Source organism: Homo sapiens, chromosome 7 (assembly GCF_000001405.40).
Source record: "Homo sapiens chromosome 7, GRCh38.p14 Primary Assembly".
Lineage (NCBI taxonomy): Eukaryota > Metazoa > Chordata > Mammalia > Primates > Hominidae > Homo > Homo sapiens.
The window spans coordinates 17,455,656-17,478,269 of NC_000007.14; the positions used below are offsets into that span (position 1 = coordinate 17,455,656).

Here is a 22,614-nt window from a genome sequence, read left to right on the forward strand (position 1 = left end):
TGGTAAAAGGGAGCACTTTTACACTGTTGTTGAGAATGTAAACTAGTACAACCATTACGGAAAACAGTGTGGAGATTCCTTAAAGAACTATAAGTAGATCTACCATTTGATTCAGCAGTCCCACTCCTGGGTATCTACCTAGAGGAAAAGAAGTCATTATTTTATTATTATGTGTATACAAGTATCTTTTAAAAGATACTTGTATACACATGTTTATAGCAGCACGATTTGCAATTGCAAAAACATGGAACCACCCCAAATGTCCATCAATCAACAAATGGATACAGAAAATGTAAATATATATGATGAAATACTAATCAGCCATAAAAGGAACTAATTTTAAGGTGGATCTATGTCACAGTTCAAATTCAGTGTTCAGTGACTTATTGCCTAAATGTACAATGATCTATCTAATCTCTTAAATGAGGCCAGAAGAGTGAGCTGGTAAAAAGAGGGCTAAGATCCTCCAAGAACTGAGTTCCTGTTCCAGCTCTGTCACTTACTATTTGATTATCAATGGGCAATTTATGGAATCTGTTTTAAATCATGGGCACTGAGGGAATAAGTGTTGGGCACCAATAGCATCCACTATAGAAGTTACTCAATATCTTCCCTGAAAGCCTTTGAACATAGCTAGGCCTCTAAATAGTCTGCTTAAACTCCAGTTCTTTTGGAAAATGGCAGAGAAAATGATTATCAGATTTTAAGTCTATCAAAATTCCATTCAGCATTGAATACATATAAAGTATAAGGTGAGTTACGAATATATCCAAAAATTTGTATTCAAAACGTAAGACAGGAAATGTTCATTTTTATAATTTACTCTTATAAATCAGTCTCAGTAAGGCAGCTGGGGTTCTCTTCCTGTCTCAAATATTGAGCCCAAAATTTTCCCAGCTTTGTGACAGTATTAGGTTCACACCAACTCTTTTGGATGCCTTCCTCTCAAAATCAAATTCAATATAGAGGGACAGAGACTGAGAAGCCTAGGATGAGCCAGAAAGTTTGTGATTGGCACATACTTGCCTGGGGCCCAAGTCACCAGAAGTCAAAAGTTTCCTCAGGAAATAATGTGTTGTCAAATGGCCATCCTCCAGTCAACGGGGCCTGTTAAGTCAAAAACACATCAGTATTATAAAGCACCACACACACTGACTCATCTAGTCTCAAGATATGCAGGATCTAAATTATTATATCCCTTTTACTGGTATGGAAACCATGATTTAAAACAGATTACATAAATTGCCCGTTGATAATCAAATAGTGACAGAGCTGGAACACAAACTCAGTTCTTGGAGGATCTCAGCCCTCTTTTTACCAGATCACTCTTCTTTTCTTCTGGCTTCCTTTAGGAGACTAGACAGATCATTGTACAGTCAGGCAGTAAGTCATTGAACACTGAATTTGAACTCTGACATAGATCTACCTTAAAATGAAGCTAAGGCAAAATTGCAAAGTACCCACTTTTTATTAGAAAAATAATTTGATTGATTGTAATTTCTTTTGTTTTCTAAACCCGAGTGTTCACCTTTCTTTTCTCCTGTATCCCTATGGCCCTCAATCAAATAACATTGGAATAACATTTGCTAAGTGTTTTGTTATCTGTTGCTGCATAACAAATTACCCCCAAACTGAGAAGCTTAAAATCATCATAATTATCTCACAGTAATTATCTCACAGTTACTCTGAGTTAAGATGCCAGGGGTAGTTTGACTGGGTGGTTCTGACTCAGGGTAGGTATCTCTTGAGGTTGCAGTTAAGTTGTTGGCCAGGGCAACAGTCACATGGGGCTAGAGGACCCACTTTCAGGATCACGCAAGCTGTTGTTGGCAAGCCTGTTTCTTGCTGGCCCATGTCTGTCCATCTCCATTCCTCGCCATGTGCTGCTTGAGTGTTCTCAAGACATGGCAGGTGGCTTGCCCTGAGCAAGAAATCTGAGAAAGAGAGGTCAAGGTGTCAGTAGCTAGCATTCTTTTACAACCTCATCTCAGAAGTAACATACCATCACTTTCACCATATTATTTGATCCCACAGACCGACGCTGGTATGATATAGGAGGTGACTTCACAAGGGTGTGAATTCTAGGAGGTGGGGATCATTGGGAGTGCCTTGGAGGCTGGCTATCACACTAAGAAGCATACAAATGTAGGGGCAATTTATTCCCTCTGTTGCTTCTCAGAGGCAGAACAGGGCATATGGAAAGGGGATGTTTTTTCCATGTGTATAGGTACACAATTCAATATACCTATTATGTCATCTTTATTAGACTGAGCTCAAAACAGATACTGACATAGGATTGATAAGACATTAAGATCCCAAGAGCTCAATCTAAAAGACCAAATATACCAAAATATATAAATCAAGAGAAGTTCAGTAAGAGCTCAAAAAAGTATAAGGGGGTTCATATAATGATGGTAAGCTGCTGTACACTTGGGGAAGAACAAGACACAATACCTAGGAGAAGTGGCATTTCAAATGAGTAGAATTTCAGAGTAAAGATCAGGGCAAAGAGAAATCAAGAGAAAGGAGATAAAAGACTCCAAGGAGCGAAACTCACCAAGAATCTTTGAATCAGAAATTCTGGTAATCATGGCTTCACAACTATGGAAGTCCAGCACAGAAAACTAGTTGCATGTAGTTTGATATAAAAGTAGCTATTTGTAAAGCCTCTGATAGGAGCATACCCAAAAACAAGGAAGAAAAAGATGTTAGATAGACTCAGCTTCCTGCTGAGTTTCTCCAGTGGCTTCCCATTGTCTGCAATAAGTTAATGCATACTCCCTAGCATTAAGACCTTCAGTCTGGCCTGAACCTTTGGAGCCTCATTCCTAACCAGCATCCTGCCTCCAGGCCCCCAGTGATGCCCCAGCCTAATCGGGGGAACCCACCCCCAATATTTCAACGTAGTTTCTTTCTGTTTTCCATAAGTGTCGGCCGGCTGAGAAATAAAGTGAAAGAGTACAAAGAGAGGAATTTTACAGCTGGGCCTCTGGGGGTGGCATCACATATGGGTAGGACTGTGAAGCCCACCTGAGCTGTAAAACCAGCAAGTTTTTATTAAGGATTTCAAAAGGGGAGGGGGTGTAAGAACAGGGAGTAGGTCACAAAGATCACATGCTTCAAAGGGCAAAAAGGAGAACAAAGATCCCATGCTTCTGAGGAAACAGGACAAGGGCAAAACCAGAAACTGATAAGAGTTCAACAAAGATCACAAGGCAAAGGGCAAAAGCAGAATTACTGATAAGGGTCTAGGTTCAGCAGTGCACGTATTGTCTTGATAAACATCTTAAACAACAGAAAACAGGGTTTGAGAGCAGAAAACTGGTCTGACCTCAAATCAGGGTGGGGGTTTTTCCCCACCCTAATAAGCCTGAGGGTACTGCAGGAGACCAGGGCATATTTCAATCCTTATCCCAACTGCATAAGACAGACACTCCCAGAGCCACCATTTATAGACCTTCCCCCCAGGAATGCATTCCTTCCCCAGGGTATTAATTATTAATATTCCTTGCTAGGAAAAGAATTTAGCAATATCTTCCCTACTTGCATGTCCATTTATAGGCTCTCTGCAAGATGAAAAATATGACTATTTTGCCCAACCCTGCAAGCAGTCAGACCCTACGGTTGTCTTCCCTTGTTCCCTTAAAATTGCTGTTATTTTGTTCTTTTTCAAGGTGCACCGATTTCATATTGTTCAAACACACATGTTTTACAATCAATTTGTACAGTTAACACAAATACCATAGTGGTCCTGAGGTGACCTACATCCTCAGCTTATGAAGATAACAGGATTAAGAGATTAAAGTAAGACAGGCATCAGAAATTATAAGAGTATTATTTGGAAACTGATAAATGTCCATGAAATCTTCACAATTTAGGTACCTCTGCTGTGGCTCCAGCCGGTCCCTCCTTTTGGGGTCCCTGACTTCCCACAACACAGCTTCCCCATTTCCTTACCCCAGGACACACCAGGCTGGGTCCCAGCTAGAAAGGCATACTTTTTTACCCATTCTGTTTATTCTGCATGGAATAGCCTGCACATCTCTTCTTCACACCACTTCCTCCTTACCTTTCCACATTCAAAGGTCACTTGGCCTAGAAAGATTTTTCTGACTCTCTTCTGGGCCCGTCTTCATCCCAGCTGTAACATCATCACTATAAATGCATTGACATCTGGCATGGCATATACTCTACGTAATTGATTCTAAAAGGAATATTCAAATCCTACAACTGAAGGCATGATATAGTTTGACATCTTTTTTCCCTTGGAAAGGAAAGTAAGAGATAAGTTAATGGTGCCTTAAACTTGATGGAATTTACTCATTTGCATATTTACTCCTTCCTTAAGACTCAAAACACCTTCTGGTATGAAATCATTTATTTTATATCCCCATTGCCTGTCACATTGCCCTGTATAATAAGCTCCCCATGAATGTAGGAGGCTGATCCTTAAATAGCTAAAGGAAACATCACTTCTTTCTACCTAGTTCCAGGAAGGGTGACCCTGATTACCCATGTCATTTCATTTAAAAAGGTCAGCATGAGGTGAATGAAAATTGTGTGACATGTTGACTTTGTTACATCATTTGACCTAAAAACTATGACCTCCTTCCTTTCATGTCATGTATCTCCAAATCTTTCTGGAATTAATCTCAAGTTTTCAACAATGGACTTAGAACTCTAAATATATACAGTTGATAAAATGCCCAATCAATGAAGTCAGGCCTGAAGTCTAAGCTTTAATATTTATTAGCATGTGACCTTTGTTGGTTAACCATCCTGAACCTTAGTTTCATCTTCTGTAAAATGAGGGTAGTACAACTCACCTGTCAGGGTAGTTGTGATACAGCTGCAATGACTGGAGGAGCCCCAGGGTCCTTGGTCTCACACTGATTTAGCTAAAACAACACAGACACACATGGAGTAGTTTTAAGGAGCAGAAAGTTTAACAAGCAAGCGAGAAAGCAGCAGCTCCCCCATACAGAGACAGAGGGAGGGAGGCTCCAAGAGAGAAATCCTGTGTGCCGCAGAAAAATGGTCAGTTATATTGGAGGCTGGAGGAGGCAGTGTCTGATTTGCATAGGGCCCAGGGGATTGGTTTGACCAGCTGCATCATTCACGTAGCCCACAGAAAAACCTGGTCCTCCCACCTTAGTCTTTTAATATGTAAATGTGGGCTGCCATGACGTCCTGAACATGTTGAGTTATCTGGAGGTGGCCATGACACTGGGCACACCTTGTGATAAGAGGAAGGTGGGAATTGCCATATTGGGTAGACCCAGTTTCTAATGGCCTGCATTTGCATATCAAAGCTTACTGGTCTGGGCCTTCAAGCTGCCTTTCTGTTTGAAACGAAATGGTTTGGGGGTTGCTTCTTCTTACAGGAAAATTACCACTGAGAACCTTTACCCTTTCTAGCTGCCTAAAAATTATTTCTTAATAACTCCTGTATTAGTTGTAAAGATTAACTCTATTAACAAATATAAAACATCTAAGATGGGGCCTGGGTATAGTAAGATATTCAGTTAATTTTAGACCACTGCCTGGCACATAACAGAATGAACAACAAAAATAATGAGAAGAGTCTACAGGGTTAGGTGAGCAATGTGGGCTTAGAAATCCATTCCAACATCATATTAATTGGGCACTGAGGTAATTGCCCAAGTTAATGATGTCAAAATGCAATGGACAACAATCCTTGTGGAGGATTTATTCTGCTTGAGTTTCTCTTTCTCTCCGTGTATGAAGTTTGAATCTAGTTTTACCTATTGTTTTCCTATTGACTACAACATTTTTACCATGAAAACATGGAATTTATAACAATTTGACCATGTATTTTTCCTCATATTATTTTGGGGACCAGACTGTTGCTTTGCTTCCAGGCATTGTAATTTGACATGTACTCTACAACAATCTTTAGCCCCCATTAGCTCTTAGTGAGACTATTTCCTCTAAACCTTTCCCATAGGTTTCACAACTTTCTTTTGAACGTTCTCCAAAAACTAAATCCTTACTTTGTTTAACCATATTTCCCCTTCTCTTCTATTGTGCATTTCTCTATGTTGAGAAGTCTTTGAGAAAGCAGGGAGTCCCTCTGCCAACTGATCCTATACTAGGATAGGCATGGGTGATGTAGGCCTTCTACAGGTCATTTAGAACTATGGGAGCAGGGCAGTAGGTAGAGCACAGAAGAAAGGAATTATGAAATGTCAGAGAATTAGGGGAAAAGAAGAGCAACAATTCTGATTTGTTGCCATGCAAAGACGGAGAGATTAAGATCGGAGGGGATGTTCCATATCAAGAGGATGAAGTGAAGGGATAAAGGTCCAGTTTACACAAAGAAGTTTAAAAGCCAGATGCAAAATCCCAAATCTTCATCATATACTGATAAGCCTTACCACACTAGTTGGAAAGGAGGTTCTAGACATCAACATGGGAAGAGGTGGAAAACCCCTTTGATCTTTCATAATGTAGAAACAGAATCCCAGAACAATAAAACAGACAACTAATCCTACTATTTTCTGATCTTTTGGCTCCTCTGAATCATTTTATAAACTTAGCTTCTCTGTGGGGGCCTAATCCTTGTCCCAATAGTCCACGTGGTTGAATGGCTGCCTGATCCAAATGCTTTGATCATACCGGAGTCTTGGAGTCTTTTCTACCATTTTTATAGGCACAACTTTCAGAAATACTTTCTTCAAAAGCCCTGTGCTTTGATAAACAGGTTTAAGTGCTATAATCACCAGGCATTTGAATGCAGATTAATTCATAAACCCAGATAATAGATCTTGTTCTGTCATGTTGTTTTTAGACAAAAGTTGAAAGCTTTGAAGAATGTGGAGAAACTATGAAATTTTAATAGCCTTGGGGCACAGAAACTTAACACAAAGAAAGAATCGTCATTCATTCAAAGAGTATTCATGGCCTTGGTGGAAAGATTGATGACAAATTCTGTGATTAATTACAGTTGTTGAAGAAAGTTAGAAGAAAAAAGGCACCAAGAGTTCTTGAGTTAATCAAAGACAGCAATTTGAATAAATGGTCCTAAAGTCCACAGTAATTATTTCGTCAAATGAACCACATTGTTACTTTGAATTGTAAGATTTTACCTTCATCCTGAAAAATAAAAATAAAAAATAAATGCCTTGGCTGAACATTATTGATTTGATAGGGAAAGTATCAGTTATTTTCCTACATAAAAGGGACTCATGAAATCTGAGGGTTGTGATATTTAGGTTTTCTTGCCTGAGGGAAGGTCATTTCACAGTAACCTCCAGAAAAAATGACTATATATTATGATTAGTAACTTATCCATAAAAAGGATAATGATATCGTTTTGCTGTGTGTCCTCATCCAAATCTCATCTTGTATCTCCCATAATTCCCACGTGTTATGGGAGTGACCCAGTGGGAGATAATTGAATCATGGGGGCGGGTCTTTACCTTGCTGTTCTCCTGATAGTGAATAAGTCTCACGAGATCTGATGGTTTTAAAAATGGGAGTCTCCTTGCACAAGCTCGCTCTCTCTTTGCCTGCTGCCATCCACATAAGATGTGACTTGCTCCTCCTTGCCTTCTGCCATGATCGTGAGGCCTCCCCGGCCATGTGGAACTGTAAGTCCAAGAAATCTCTTTCTTTTGTAAATTGCCCAGTCTCAGGTATGTCTTTATCAGCAGCATGAAAACAGACTAATACAAATAACGTAACAAGAACAAGAATGAAATAATTGACATGAAGGACTCACCTGAACAATTACACCAAAAGAGCATCTTCTTCTTTCTCTAATCTACACAAAGCCCGTCCACAACAGGCCAATTCTATCAGAGACAAGGCTGATGGGAAGGTTCAGAAATAATTGCAGTTTTCCTCCTCACATTTCTATTGAATCTTTTGGAGAATAGAAAAATAAATTATTTATTACAAGGCAGGGGTTCTCAAGCCCTAGACCAGTACCTGTCCGTGGCCTGTTAGGAGCAGGGTCACATAGCAGAAGGTAAGTGGCAGGCAAGCCAGCATTACTGCCCAAGCTCCGCCTATTGTCAGATCAGTGGCAGCATTAGATTCTCATAAAAGCATGAACCCTATTGTGATCTCTGCATTCAAGTTATCTAGGTTGCGCACTCCTTATGAGAATCTAATGCCATCCCCCATCCACCCTGGTCCTTGGAAAAATTATCTGCCATGAAACCGGTCCCTGGTGCCAAAAATGTTGGGAACCGCTGTTGTAGTAAGTTTTCAATAGGTAACTTGCATTCAACAGCTTGTGGTTATAGCTTCCTGTTTGGCAGAGGAAAAGGATATCTCTATATATAGATATACATATCACAGATCTTAGAACTTTAAATATCAACTGTATTAGAACTTGACTACTGAGCTTGAGCTTGCCACCATTCTTAAAATCATCAGCTCTACTGCCATGCTGTTTTTTACATTTATATATTATAACTTCATCTTTAATAAAATATATATATTAGCTATTTTTCAATGTGGATTTTATGTGGTAAGTGTTCAGATCTAAGAATGTTATCTGTTTCCCAAGTAGCTTGTTTTTCCTGAGTGAAAATTTATGAACCCTACTTATGTTAATTAAAATTATATTTTAACCTTACTAGATCTGTGCTATGACTAGAAAATAGTTGTTAACATAAAATTTCTCCCAAAGTAAATGGATAGTTTAAAAAAAAATCCAGTAAAGTACTAAGTCATGAAAACTATATTTTCTTGACACTTTTTTCTAAGATGCATAACATGCTTTAATCTTTTATAAAATATAAACATTCTTTCATAATATATGAAGGAATTAAAACAGTGCATTTTATGCACTTGAAACCAAAAGTTCCCAATCTTCCTGCTCGTTAAAGAATGGAAATTAGACTGCTAGTTTTTCTTACTTTTTTAGCAACGTAACTAAACGTGATTTGGATATTAAGTCTCATTTTGGATAATCAAAATACATAAGCATGTGTGTGTGTGTGTGTGTGTGTGTGTGTGTGTGTGTGTATAAAATAAAACTTACAAAATATGTATGTGTGTATGTATATATTAAGCTTGTGAAGTCCTAAAAGCCTGGCAGAGTGGGAGAGACATGTAGCTCCAGTACCAGTAAAACAAACCACATGGCTAATTAAATGTGTTCTATTGATCTCTCCACTAACCGCTGAAAAATACATACAGATTTTCAGTTAATCAGCTAATAGTTTGGCATTCTGCGTGCTATATCTTTCTCACCTATTGTTGTGATTAACTCTATGATTTTAAGCTTTTATTTGTAGATTTGCACTTTACAGACTTCTAAGTCCTTGAAGCAAGCAAATAAAAAAATGTAGCTCAATGAGAACACTGCAAGTTATTGAGAACACTGCAAGTTATAAAAGTGGTCCAAGGAGTTTCACTATTTTTTCCTTGCAATGTCAGAACAGGATGAAAAGCAAATTTGAGGCTATGTTTCTTTCCCTGGAAGAACTATATATATAGTTGACAGGGACCCCCTCTCTTTTCACCCTTGCTGACTTACCACACTGTCCAACCAAGACTTGCTCTCTTTCCCAATCACTTCTTCACGAACCTCTCCCTGAAAAAGTAGAGGTGAAATGTAGGTATTAAAATTTTCCCACCATTTCAGAAATCACAACTCTTCCTAAGAGAAGGAAGGAAACATGAAAAATGGACAAAAGGCTGATCTAGATGTGCTTAATTTAGCAGTCATAGAATGGGAACTCCGTATTTGTATATTTTATATAGTTATGAATATTACATAGTATAGGATGAAAATTCAATAAATAAATGTATTTATTAAATAATTATTTATTTATCAAATAAATATATTAGCCAGTTCACTTATTATCAACTAAATATTGAACCATGGTGAATTGATTTAGGACAAATACAGAAATAAAATAAGGATATTTAAGCCAAACTTCATTCAACTCTGTTGTTTAGTACAGAAATATCATGATTTGATGAAACAAGTTGTTTTCAAATATAGTTTTACATGATGTGAAAGGTATATCAATAAAATATAAACTCTGGGTTTATTATTTTTGACTTATGAATGCTAACTAATAATTTATCTTTTTACTTAAGTAATAATAATTTTGTTAAAAGGCCTGGTTTGGCTGTAGGCAAAGAATTGATTACTCGGAGCAAAAAAAAAAAGTGATGTGTTGGCTCTCATCACTTTCCTATAACTCATGAATATTCACATTTTCCAGAAGATTACTGCCCTTAGTGATTTGGGCTCTTCCTTTTCAAATCTATTGTTATATGTATTATTTTTCTTTTAATTAAAAGAAGGCAATCAAGACTGTTTAACTCAGTTTAAGAAAAAAAAAAAAAACTCTTGCCAAGTTTCTTGAACCCCATTGTATACATGCAAGCTTAAGTTAGAACAAAGACATGACATTATTGTATGGAGTCTAGTAAATGCTTCTATTGTGTCTTCAATTCTCTTCCTAAATGACATTCTCATTTACTTATATTTGTCTCTGTCTTCACAGGTTGCTTACACTGAAAATCAGTTTATTTTCCCCTGGTGCAAAGAACAGTCGTTTCTCCAAAACTGAAGCTGGAAATTATCTGAAATATCAGGTCCTCCGGAAAAGGGACGTGAAGCCCCCTTTGTAATTTCTGCATTAGCGTGCTCTCCTGGCAAGCAGGAAACCTCATCAGAGAAGTCAGCCAAGGAAAGTCTTTAAATGGAAATTGTGCAAACGAGGAGCAAATGCATTAAAAAGTTGCTGACGGGCATGAAATGCTTTGATGTGAAGACGGAAAACTCCAAGCAGGAAGGATTTTAACATTTTGAATCTGATTGACTCTGTGGTTTCTCAGCACAGTTATTCCATGGGCTAAAATAAATGCAGAAATGGTACTTTCAGACCACAGCTGCAGAGGGGATCGTGGTGAATTTCAATGAAAATCCATTTGAATCTTGAGGTTCAGATCTTAAAAAAGCAAAGGACATGAGAGAAGTAATATTGTTGCTTGAAATTTCATTGCTTATATCTAAAAGAAACTCCTATTTTTAAGAGAAATGTTGAATCTTTGCAACGTGGTAGACGCTCCCACAAAACTTTCTCCTGAAATAGGAGATAAATGTTGGAAAGAGGCAATGTATTGAGTATGCTGATAGAGGTGGAGTTCAGAGACAGGCAAGCATACATAAGAGTCAGGATGTTTTTCAGTATTATCTTTACAAATGAGTTTCTTACAGTGGTCAATGACAAACCAATTTCATTCAAAGCTTGCTTCAATAGGCAATGGTTTGATGCCAATATGTTAGCTATTTACTTTGACCACCGTATGCATTAAAAAGAAGAAAAATTAAGAATACTCAAGCAGAACCTCCAACTTAGATAGCACTTTCCACAAAAAGTAATGGAGGGATAGACTGAAGTTAAATGGGATCAGGTATGTGATGAGATCTCAGAAGTGTTTGCACAATAATGCAGATACTCATTTTAAACAGAGTCATAAGGATTGGAACTAATAAAAATAATAGAATAAAATACCGATCAAGAATGTGTCCTCCTGCGTATCTGGGTTTTGAATTCTGGCTCCACAGAACTTGTCAGATATATGACATTAAACAAGATACTTCAACATTCTGTGCCTTCATTTTCTTAGCTGTAAATAGAGATTTTACTAGAACTCTATAAGATTATCATGAGAATTACATTAATATATGTAAAGCTTTAGACATAGTATATGGCACCTAGTAAGCACTCAATTAAATGTTAGTTACCATTAGTAGCAGTGTAGAATTAAAAAACAAAAACTGCAAACTGTAAGTTAGGCATCTGGCTCTGCAAACTAGTGGAATTCCCCAGACCTTATTCTGGCCATCTGTAAAATGAAAGGGTTGGGCTAGATCATCTCTAAATTTCCTTCCAACTTAAAAAACATTGTTCAAAAACACATTTTAGGAGTACGCAAAGTATTTCAGCAGAAGGCGATGTTTTAGCAGAATATTTTTAAAGGCACTTAATCACTTTCACAAAAAATGTGTTTCATGGCTTGTACTTCCTCCTCTATCAACTCCTGTTGGGACTTCACTTGCTGCTATTCCACCGAAGTGGCTCCAGTCAGGGTCACAGGATTTCTACGTTGTCAAGTCCAATGGTCACTTCTTTAAACCTTTGGTACACCCAGTAGCACTTGACACATCTGAATCTGATTTTTTCCTTCTTTGTCCAGTCACCAGCCTTTTTTTTTTTTTTTTTTTTTGAGAGTCTTTGTCTTCTAGGCTGGAGTGCAGTGGCGCAATCTCGGCTTACTGCACCCTCCACCTCCCAGATTTAAGGGATTCTTGTGCCTCAGCCGGGTGCCACCACACCAGGCTAATTTTTGTATTTTTAGTAGAGATGGGGTTTCTCCATGTTGGCCAGTCTGGTCTTGAACTCCTGACCTCAGGTGATCCACCTGCCTCAGCCTCCCAAAGTGCTGGGATTACAGGCTTGAGCCACCCCGCATGGCCGAGATTGTCTTTTTAATAAACATTTTATTTTACTCCTCTACTTAAAATCCTGAAATGGCTTTCCATGACGTTTGTGATCTAGACACTTTTGATCTTATTTTCTACCATCTCTTCTTGTTCTTTGCAGTCCCTTCAGCCACACTGGCCTTCTTTCTGAACTTCAAACACCCCAAGCTTATTCCTTGGATTGGTTAGTACCTTTGCTTAGAATTTTCACCTTAAATCATGGCTGGCTCCTTCTTGGCATTGTTTCAGTATATATGTCTCCTCCTCAGAGAGGCCTCCCTGATTAAATAGTACCCACTTCACTTAGTCTACCTTGCCCTGTTTCATATTCGTAATGAAACGGTCTTATTTTTACCATGTCTATCTCCCTCAAAGAAAGTAAGCCCCATGAGAACAGGGATATTATCTAGCTCAATGCCAAGGACAGGTCCTCAATAAAGCTATGAAGGAAAAGATAAAGAAGCCAGTTCCCCTTGCATCATGTTCAAAGTGTTCTCTGCCTTCCCTAAATTTTAATCACCCTTATTGTCAGTCCCACTTATTTGATATCACACATCATCCTGTATTATTATGAATTTTTTCCTACACATATGTCTTTTTTCTCCAATCATATGATACTTGTGGGATGAGACTATGAGACATTTCAGGTGTCTCAGAAGTGATGAGCCCTTGTTCACAATTATTCACTAAATGTATGTTAAAATATTTAAAGGGAGACAAATTGACTAGTAATTTACAAAAACCTAAATTATGACTGGTCAAAAGGAAGAAAACAAAAAAGTGCTTAAATGTTTCAATGAAAACATGTCCATCCAATGGTTTATATTTTCCTAGGCAGTGGGAAAAGAATGAGAGTTGGACTTCAGTTTTTAAGTGGGCAACCCAAATTGTTTTGGTTCTTTAAAAAAATTGGTTTGTTACTTATGTTAGGAACAATCTCTCTCTAGTCTAAATAGAGATCTAAGGAAATGCAATCTAAAGAAAATCTAGTCTTGGTTGAATATATTTTACTTTACATTTTACATACCTTATTACAGCGAGTACTCACAGGCAAAAGTTCCATTGTATACATTGAAGTCAACAATCATTTGTCTTTTCTGGACTTGACACTCTGCCATGACTCCCCACCATTGTACTTACTGGTTCAAACTCCTTAGCAGGTCCTACCAGACTGTCCAGGATTAAGTCTTTATTCACACCTTAGTCTTACCTCTTATTCTGTCTCCCTTCAAGATCCTCTTTTGTCCAATACCCAACAGACACACATTCGGCTCTAGACACAACAAAAAAGGCAGGCCCCCTAATGAACTCTACCACTATCCCCTCTACACTGTTTTCTCTTACACATCCTGATCTCTTCCCCACCTACCTAGTTAGCCTGGTTTACTCTCCTCTATTAGGTTTTTGCCAAACTGCAATTACTTTTGCACCAACCTAATCATCTTCTCTAGCAGGCCTTCCCTACCCCTGCCTACCTTCTTGCCCAGATTGAATCAGGCCCCATCTATGGATTCTCATAGTACCTGTGCTTACCCACCATAAAGCACATATCACATGACTGAAATTTCCTTACCCAAGATCAAATAAATGAATAGCCCAATTCATTTTTTTAATACTATGCTATAATATGAAGGTTTATGCTCCCCCTTCAAATTCATATCCTGACATTCTGATGCCCAAGGTGATACTATTAGGAGACAAGGACTTCTAGTGCTCTGTTGTTCCTGATCTTAGATGGAAAGCATTAGCTTTTTACCACTAAGTATAATATTAAGTTTAGATTTTTAGTACATGCTCTTTATCAATTTTAGAAAGTTCCTTTCCATTCCTATTTTTCTTAAAGTTTTAATCATGAATGGGTATAAAATTTTGTCAAATGCTTTTTCTGCATTGATTAGTATAGTTATATGATTTTTCTCTTTTAGCCTATTAATATGGCCAGCTATCTTAGCTGATTTTCAAATATTGAACCAGCCTTGTGTTCCTGGAGGAAGCCCATGGTTCTGCCCTCAATAATAAAATCAGTGCCCTTAGAAAAACAGCCTGATAGAGCATGTTTGCCCTTTTCACCATGTGAGTACACAGTTAAAAGGCCCCATCCATAAGGGGTGGGCCCTCAAGCAGACACCACTAGCACCTTATCTTGGTCTTTCCAGCCTCCAGAACAGTGAGAAATAAATTTCTGTTGTTTCTAAGTTACCCCATCAAAGACATTTTGTTTCAGCAGTCAGAACATACAAAGACACCCTATAATACCAAAAACAGGCAAAAATGTACAAAAAATGAAAGGTTTAGGCCAATATCCTTTATGAATATGCATACAGAAATTATTAGCAAAATATTAGCATATAGAATTTACAATATATAAAGAGAATTATACTCCATGACTCCGTGACCAAGTGAGGCTTATTCTAGGGATGCAAGGCTGGTTCAATATTTGAAAATCAATGAATGTAATCAACCATATTAACAGGCTAAAGAAAATAAATCATATGATTAATCAATGCAGAGAAAGTATTCAACAAAAATTTTATACCCCTTCATAATAAAAACTCTTAAAAAAACAGGAACAGAAGAGAACTTCCCAAAATTGATAAAAAACATTTACTAAAAACCTACAGCTAACATTATGCTTAATGGTAGAAAGCTGAATGCTTTCCTCCAAAGATCAGGAAGAGTACAAGGAGGTGACTCTTGCCACTCTTATTCAAAATGGGGATAGAAGTGCTAGTCTGTACAATAAGTCAAGAAAAAGAAAAGGCAGGGAGAATGAAAAGATCCTAAATTAAAACATAAAACTATGAAACTTGCAGGGAAAAAGCACAGAAAATCTTTGCATCTAGGGCTAGACAACTTTTAGATTTGATACCAAAAGCATGGTCCAAATCAGGAAAATTGATAAATTGTGCTTCATCAAAATTAAAAATCTTTTGCTCTGTAAGAGATCCTGTTTCTCTGTTAGGACAATGAAAAGATAAGCTATAGCCTGAGATAAAATATTTTCAAATTACATATCTGATAAATGAGTGCATAAAGAAGTCTTAAAAACTCAATAGTCAAAAAATTAAAAATCCAATTAGAAAATGGGCAAAAATCATGAAGAATAATTTTGCTGCAGATGGTGTACAGATGACAAATAAGCATCTGGAAAGATGCTCAACATCATTAACCGTTAGGGAAATCCAAATTAATACCACAGTATAATTACAAAGCTCTCAGAATGGCTAAAATAAAAAATAGTTGACTACACCAAATGCTGGTGAGAATGTGGAAAAATTGGATCACTCATATGTTTCTGGTGGTAAGATAAAATAGCCTGGACACTGTGGAAAACTGTTTTGCAGTTTCTTAAAAAGCTAAGCATGCAAACACCATACAACTGCACTCCTGGGCATTTGTCCCAGAAAAATTAAAATATTCACAAAGAAACATGTACATGAATGTTTATAGCAGTTTCATTCATAATAGCCACATACAGAAAAAAAACCATGTGTTTCTTAATGGGTGAATAAACCATGGTACATCTATACCTTGGAATACTACTTGTCAATAAAAAACAAACAATTGCTAAATAAAACAACCTGAGAAAATCTCCAGAGAACTATACTGAGTGAAGGAAGAAAAATCCCCAAAGATTACACACTGTATGTCATTTATATAACATTCTTGAAATGACACAATCACAGAAATAGAGAATACTGGTCACTAGGCATTAAGGAAGGTGTGGAAGGATGTAGTGATGGGAGGAAATGTGTATGGCTGTAACAGGGCAACAGAGGCATCATTGTGATGATGGAAGTGTTCTGTATCTTGTGTTTTTGAATGTCATTATCCTGGTTGTGATATTGTACTTAGTAGTTTTGCAAGATATTACCACTGAAGAAAACTAGTTAAGGGTACACAGGATTTTTCTGTATTATTTCTTATAAGTGCATGGGAATCTACATTTATCTCAACATAAGTTTCATTTTAAGAATTATATATTTTCTGAATCTTTAATAATGTGTCAACTAGAATTTAACTGGGTATATTTTTATGATAGAAATCTACCTTACCATGCCCTTTGTCACTTGAGTAATCATATATTACATGACTCAAAGGCACAGAAATCCAGTAAGTAAAGAAAAAAGGTGTCTATTTATCTGGAGACAGGGTCTCACTCTGTTGCCCCAGCTGGAGTGCAGTGGTGCTATCATAGCTCACTGCAGCCTCAATCACCTGGGCTCGATCTCCTCCTGCCTCAGCCTCCCCAGTAGCTGGGACTACAGGTGCCACCACATCCAGCTAATTTTTTATTTTCAGTAGAAATTAGGTCTCACTCTGTTGCTCAGGCAGGTCTCAAACTCCTGAGCTCAAGCAATCCTCCTGCTTCAGCTTCTGAAGTGCCAGGATTACAAGTGTGAACCACTGTGCCCAGTCATGGTTTTTTCTGTTGTCGTTGGGTTTTTTTGGTTGTTGTTTTGTTTTTGTTTTTAAGACTTGCACTGTCACCCAGGCTGGAGTACAGTAGCGTGATCCTGAGACACTGCAACCTTTGCCTCCCAGGTTCAAGTGATTCTTGTGCCTTGCCACCTGAGTAGCTGGGACCACAGCTGTGTGCCACCACGCCAGGCTAATTTTTGTACTTTTAGTAGAGATGGGGTTTTACCATGCTGGCTAGGCTGGTCTTGAACTCCTGCCAGCCTCATTTTAAAACAAATTTTCTAACCAAAAATATACTCACAGGTTGAATTCAATGGCCCAGAAAAAAAGTGAAAGTATAATTGCCTTTATAATACAGTGCAATAGACCATAGAATATTTAAATCTTTAAATGGTTTGGCATTTCCATTGAATTGTTTATATTCTATGCAGACTTGTATTAGTGTTAATCCATTAGCAAACACTAAAATTATATAAGTGCTATTAATTTTATTAGGAAAGAAAGAAGTGTACTTCTTTCTTCTGATATGAATCATGGTAGCGCTTGGATGAACATTAGAGCCTATCCAGCACAATTTTTTCACCTTAAGAGGAAATGGAAGTAGTTGAAATTTAAATGTTGCATCAAAGATGATACAGCTAATATCCAGCACACAAAGCCTCCTACATTGATTCTTAGATATACTTAGAAGTCACAAATGCAAAAGCCTTTTACTATTGTTACAAAACACAGCAAGGAGATATTTATATTCTGTATCGTGTAAAGTCATCCTGGAGTTGGGGATCCAGCCTGGAATTGCTGGGCATCAGGGACAGTGAAGTTGTGCAAGCATGTACATTGTCTAACGCATGCTCGAAGTTATATTTATCTTCAGGACATCCGATTTGACTCACGTTCATTGGTCCTATATTTTTATCGGTTTTAATTAACTATGTCCTTTAGCAATCCTTACCTCTATCTTTCCCTTTTGCATGTGTCAGGGTAATCTCAAGTATAAGTCACCCAGAGAGGAAGAAAATATTTTTTGTTTTATCTTATGTTTGTGGCTACTAATAGCAGTATTAAAAATTAAAGTACAACAAAATATATAAGATTACAGAATCCTAGGAAAATAAAATAGGAATGTGAAAACAGATCTAATGAGGTATTAAACCTCTAGCAGAGAGCCCCCAATCTCTTATCATGTTTCTTTAAGTCATTAGAATTGTCCTGCAGGCTAAAAAGAGCTTCGTTCTGATGATGGCCCCAAATGCTTTTTTCTCCCAATGATGTCAACTTGCAAAGTTTGGCACGTTCTCTTACAACATTCTAATGTCCATTAATGACCTCTTAATGCTAATTGGTACACATTATACCATCTGTAAATTTTAACACATCATGTTATTTTCAACAATACTTGTATCTTCATCCTATTCTGGTATCAGATAAAGCCAACCAGGCAAAGGAAGCCATCTTAAAGCAACACTGGTGTGATTTTGCTCAGTCTGAGCAAGAGATTCTTTGCTGAAAAAAACTACACCTAGATGGGTCGTTTAATTCAACTTTGTGAAGACACTAAAGGATTGATAATGGCAAAGCAGGTTACACAAAGTTTACTGCCTATTTGATTTAAACAATTATTTAGGTGTAGATAAGAAAATACAACTTACAATGGGTTTGTGGGATATAGTTTAGAATTTGCTCTAAAGAATCTGGGATGACTATAACCAGGGCCTTGGTTCCAGTCTAGCCTGGAGTCCCTTCCTTGTGTCATCCAAGTTCACAATTTGTCTTTGTGTGTTTGGTGCAGCTTCAGTCACAGTTGGGGATAAATTGGGATTCAATGTTCACATTCTGAATATGGGTCCTTGTTATATACAAAAATGTTTCTAAATCTGTTATTGGTAACACAGTAAATGAATTGGATTAGGAGGTCATTATTAACAGGTCTGACATCTGTGGGCCTGTCTAGCAGACAGGATGCAAACAGACAACAGAGAGCCTCAAGGAAACAACAAACAAAAATCAACATGAAACAAAAATATCTGGCCATAAAGATGCAGAAGATGAAGACTTTCGGAGTAGACTTGTAAATTGGAGCGAACAGTGGGTCCAGGCACAGTGGGAGCCCCACCCACACCCCGTAACAGTCCTTCTAACCTTCCCCATCCAACATTCTTGCCTACCCTGACAGGGAAAGGACTGCAGTTAAGGGTCCAGTCCTACTGTGGGATTTCTCCTGGGAGCGCGCTGGTCATGAGAAGTGAATAGAGTTTCTCTTCATTCCCCACGAAGAGAGAAGAGCCCCAGGGGTCGGTGAATCTGAAGGATCAGCTGCAGCAGTCGGAGGAGAAGGTAGAGAAGGGCGAGGCTGACCTACACCTAGACAGAGGTGCCCAGCTCTTATGCGAGCAGCAACAGGGACCTAGAGCCAGCCTGACGCTCACCCCAATGCACACACACCAATCACCTGCGGAGGCTTTCTCCTGGATTTCCTCCTAATCCAAGATGCAAGGCTCAAATGTTAAAATATTAGGTATTGCTCCAAAGTTGTCTCACTGCTTAGAAATGCCTGAGACATCCTGCAGGGGGCCGACCTCCTCTCTCATCGGTGCTCTCAGCCCCTCTGCTCTCTCCTTCCGGTTGGTGCTCTTTGAGCAGCTAACTCCACTTTCTGATTATCCTGAAGTGAATTCCTAGTTGGAATCCAGGTGGAAAAAAAATCTAACAGCCAAAACGTGGACTCCTTAAGGTTTTGTGCATACAAGTGATGTGAGGATGAATGAAAAGAAAAACATTTATCTGGTAACTAATGTTTTTGTTTGTTTTTGTTTTTTGAGATCGAGTCTCACTCTGTCGCCCAGGCTGGAGTGCAGTGGTGCGATCTCAGCTCACTGCAACCTCCTCCTTCCCAGGTTGAAGCGATTCTTCTGCCTCAGCCTCCCAAGTAGCTGGGACTACGCGCACGTGCCACCACGCCCAGCTAATTTTTGTATTTTTAGTAGAGATGGGGTTTCTCCATATGGGCCAGGCTGGTCTCAAACTCCTGACCTCGTGATCTGCCCACCTTGGCCTCCCAAAGTGCTGGGATTACAGGAGTGAGCCACCATGCCCAGCCACTAATGGTTATTTTTTTAAGAGATAAATAGCAACGACTATTTTTTGTGAGAAGCTGTACTTGATGAGTTCTTACTAAATTTAAATATAGAAAGTATTAGCTCATCCAATATAGTAAATCCCATGTGGACAATAAGTAGTTCAGAAACAGATTAATCACATTGAAATAATTATTAACCTAATTCTTTTAAAATTATTAATAACCATTAATATTCTCTTTTAAAAATTCATGGTCAGGCGCGGTGGCTCACGCCTGTAATCCCAGTACTTTGGGAGGCCAAGGTGGGTGGATCACTTGAGGTCAGAAGTTTGAGACCAGCCTGGCCAACATGGTGAAACCCCATCTCCACTAAAAATACAAAAATTAGCCAGGCATGGTGGCATGCGCCTGTAATCCCAGCTACTCAGGAGGCTGGGGCATAAGAATTGCTTGAACCCAGGAAGTGGAGGTTGCAGTGGGCAGAGATCATGCCACTGCACTCCAGCCTGGGCAACAGAGCAAGACCCTGTCTCAAAACAAAACAAAACAAAAATGCACTAAACTCTTTCATAACCATTCTATACTTAATTCTGATAGCAATACCACTGGGCAAATATTTCTATTCTTACCAATACTTTCTACCTCAGGAAACTGTGTGTTCTGTGAAAGTAAAGATCTTGGAAAACTTTTTGTAAGTCTAGACTGGGTGCCTAGGCTTAGTAAAGCATTCAGCAGGTAGTTGGTAGAACCAGTAGCTGAACCAAGGACTTGAAAGTTTATTATTCAGTTTGGAGATTAGAAAATTTATCAGCTACAAATACTGTGAAGACTAATTAGTAATAAGCTTGACATTTTACTAAATGCCATAACTCTTTGTATTTCAACTTCCACTTTTATTCTTATCAGCTGAATAAAAAATTTTTGATTCCTTAAAGATAAAACTAATGAATATTTCTATATTAACCATAAAAATATTAACATTCTGCAAAGTAAGGTTTAGAATGGCATTTCATCAGAAATTAAATTGAGCCAGTTAATGTGAGAAGACTTTTATTTATTCTGTATGTATTTTTTTTTATGTAGGAAAGAATTCAGTTAGCTTAAACTCTTATTCAGAAAAGTAGAAGAACATTGCATGGTAGATCCAGACCAGAGTTTATTTCTTAGGGAAATATGTAGGTGTAAAGGTTGGGATATCTGATTAACAATTCATAAACCTTTTGCAGAAATCCCTATCACTTAAACATAGGAATACATTTGTCATTCCTTAGGACTTAATATTTACATTAAATGAAATACATTTGTCTGTTTTTCCTTGTTTTTTATTATTATTAATCTCTTGGTTCTAGAGAGACAATATGGCACAACTATTTCACATTGACCTAGGATGGCTGTGCCTTTGGACTTCATACCAGGCTGTCCTATGATTCATTAAGCATTCTCAGCCATTCTCAGGAAAGGATTTTCTGCTTCTCCATAACCAAGCATTCAAAAGATGCTGACATGCCACAGTCCTCACACTTAGATTCCATATCTATATCACTGATGTGGTCCTAGAAACTTACTAATAACCAAAATTTACAGATCTAAATATTTGTTACCTTTGGCCACAATGCTGCTCTCTACCCAGATCTGTCACTGTCAGGACCTGAGAGTTTATTCAAATAGTTGAACAGCTAGAAAGGTGGTACCACTTGTTAGATTGCTTTATAGCCTCCAAGACTATGGATGAATAGTTTTGAAGGAATGAACCATGAGTCTCCTCCTGGCAAATCTTAAACTCTTATATAGTTGAATGGTATTTTTATATTGGCCATAAAAGTGTCGTCTAAGTAGTTTTTAAAAACTTTATTGGAGGATGTCGTATTTTAGGAAGTATTTGAATAATAGAGAGTGTTTTCAAACTGGAAGACCAAAGAAGGACATAAAGAAAAAAATGGTTCCAAGAACAGATGTAACTTGAAAAAAGCATCTGAAGCTGGAGTCGAATTATCAGGCAAGGACTGTAAATATATTTATCTAAGACAAGTGGTCTTTGATGAAGATGAGGAATTTATAAATTAATAGAGATAAAAAATTAGTTAAAACACTCTAAACCCTTAGTACTTTGAATAAGCTATATGCATTCCTTTTAGTTTTGTTATGCATAGCATTGAAAAGAATGGAATGAAAGGAGACATTTGAATGTATTTAAGTATCATGAAATGATACTTGTAGTGCTTCTAAAATAGATAATTGTTTTATAGTATAAGTGACAGAAAACAAACTCCCCAAATAGAAGCATGAAATCCATTTGAAATAGCTAAATCAGCCAAAATTTGTATTACTAACTTGAAATACGTTCAATCATTTTGTCAAGCACATATTCTCTTTATTTTCTTGACTTGGATATTTGAAGGAAGATGTAATCCATATGGTTTTTATTCTTTTACACTTGAGGTATTAAAATGGGGCTCAAACTAAGTATTCACATATCAAGAGCCAGTTATTTCTCTTAAAACATCTCTTTTCTTGGTGAAAGTAATTCACACTATATTATAGCCCAAAGTTGTTAATTCATACATCAACTCCTAGTCCAGAATACACATATTCTCTTAACATATCAGAAGATGTTTCAAGTTTTACAAACAGCCAT

At 37.7% G+C, this 22,614-nt stretch overlaps 3 long non-coding RNA genes across 4 annotated transcripts in view; 1 reads left to right on the forward strand and 2 right to left on the reverse strand.

Annotated features, from left to right (window-relative positions):
- LOC105375172 (uncharacterized) overlaps positions 1 to 7,483 on the reverse strand; it is a 32,552-nt gene extending 25,069 nt beyond the window's left edge. Inside the window, exons 1-4 of the long non-coding RNA XR_001745108.1 lie at positions 7,443 to 7,483; positions 4,070 to 4,898; positions 2,558 to 2,669; positions 1,023 to 1,934 (exon numbers count right to left, since the gene is read on the reverse strand). This is a non-coding gene — a long non-coding RNA (uncharacterized LOC105375172). The remainder of the gene's footprint in view (positions 1 to 1,022; positions 1,935 to 2,557; positions 2,670 to 4,069; positions 4,899 to 7,442) is intronic.
- The window catches only part of LINC02888 (long intergenic non-protein coding RNA 2888), a 92,340-nt gene extending 80,739 nt beyond the window's left edge, over positions 1 to 11,601 (forward strand). For both annotated transcript variants that reach the window (NR_110014.1, NR_110015.1), the window contains one exon: positions 10,497 to 11,601. This is a non-coding gene — a long non-coding RNA (long intergenic non-protein coding RNA 2888). The remainder of the gene's footprint in view (positions 1 to 10,496) is intronic.
- LINC02889 (long intergenic non-protein coding RNA 2889) overlaps positions 7,790 to 22,614 on the reverse strand; it is a 95,465-nt gene continuing 80,640 nt past the window's right edge. The window contains exons 3-4 of the long non-coding RNA NR_110013.1: positions 9,515 to 9,571; positions 7,790 to 7,887 (exon numbers count right to left, since the gene is read on the reverse strand). This is a non-coding gene — a long non-coding RNA (long intergenic non-protein coding RNA 2889). The remainder of the gene's footprint in view (positions 7,888 to 9,514; positions 9,572 to 22,614) is intronic.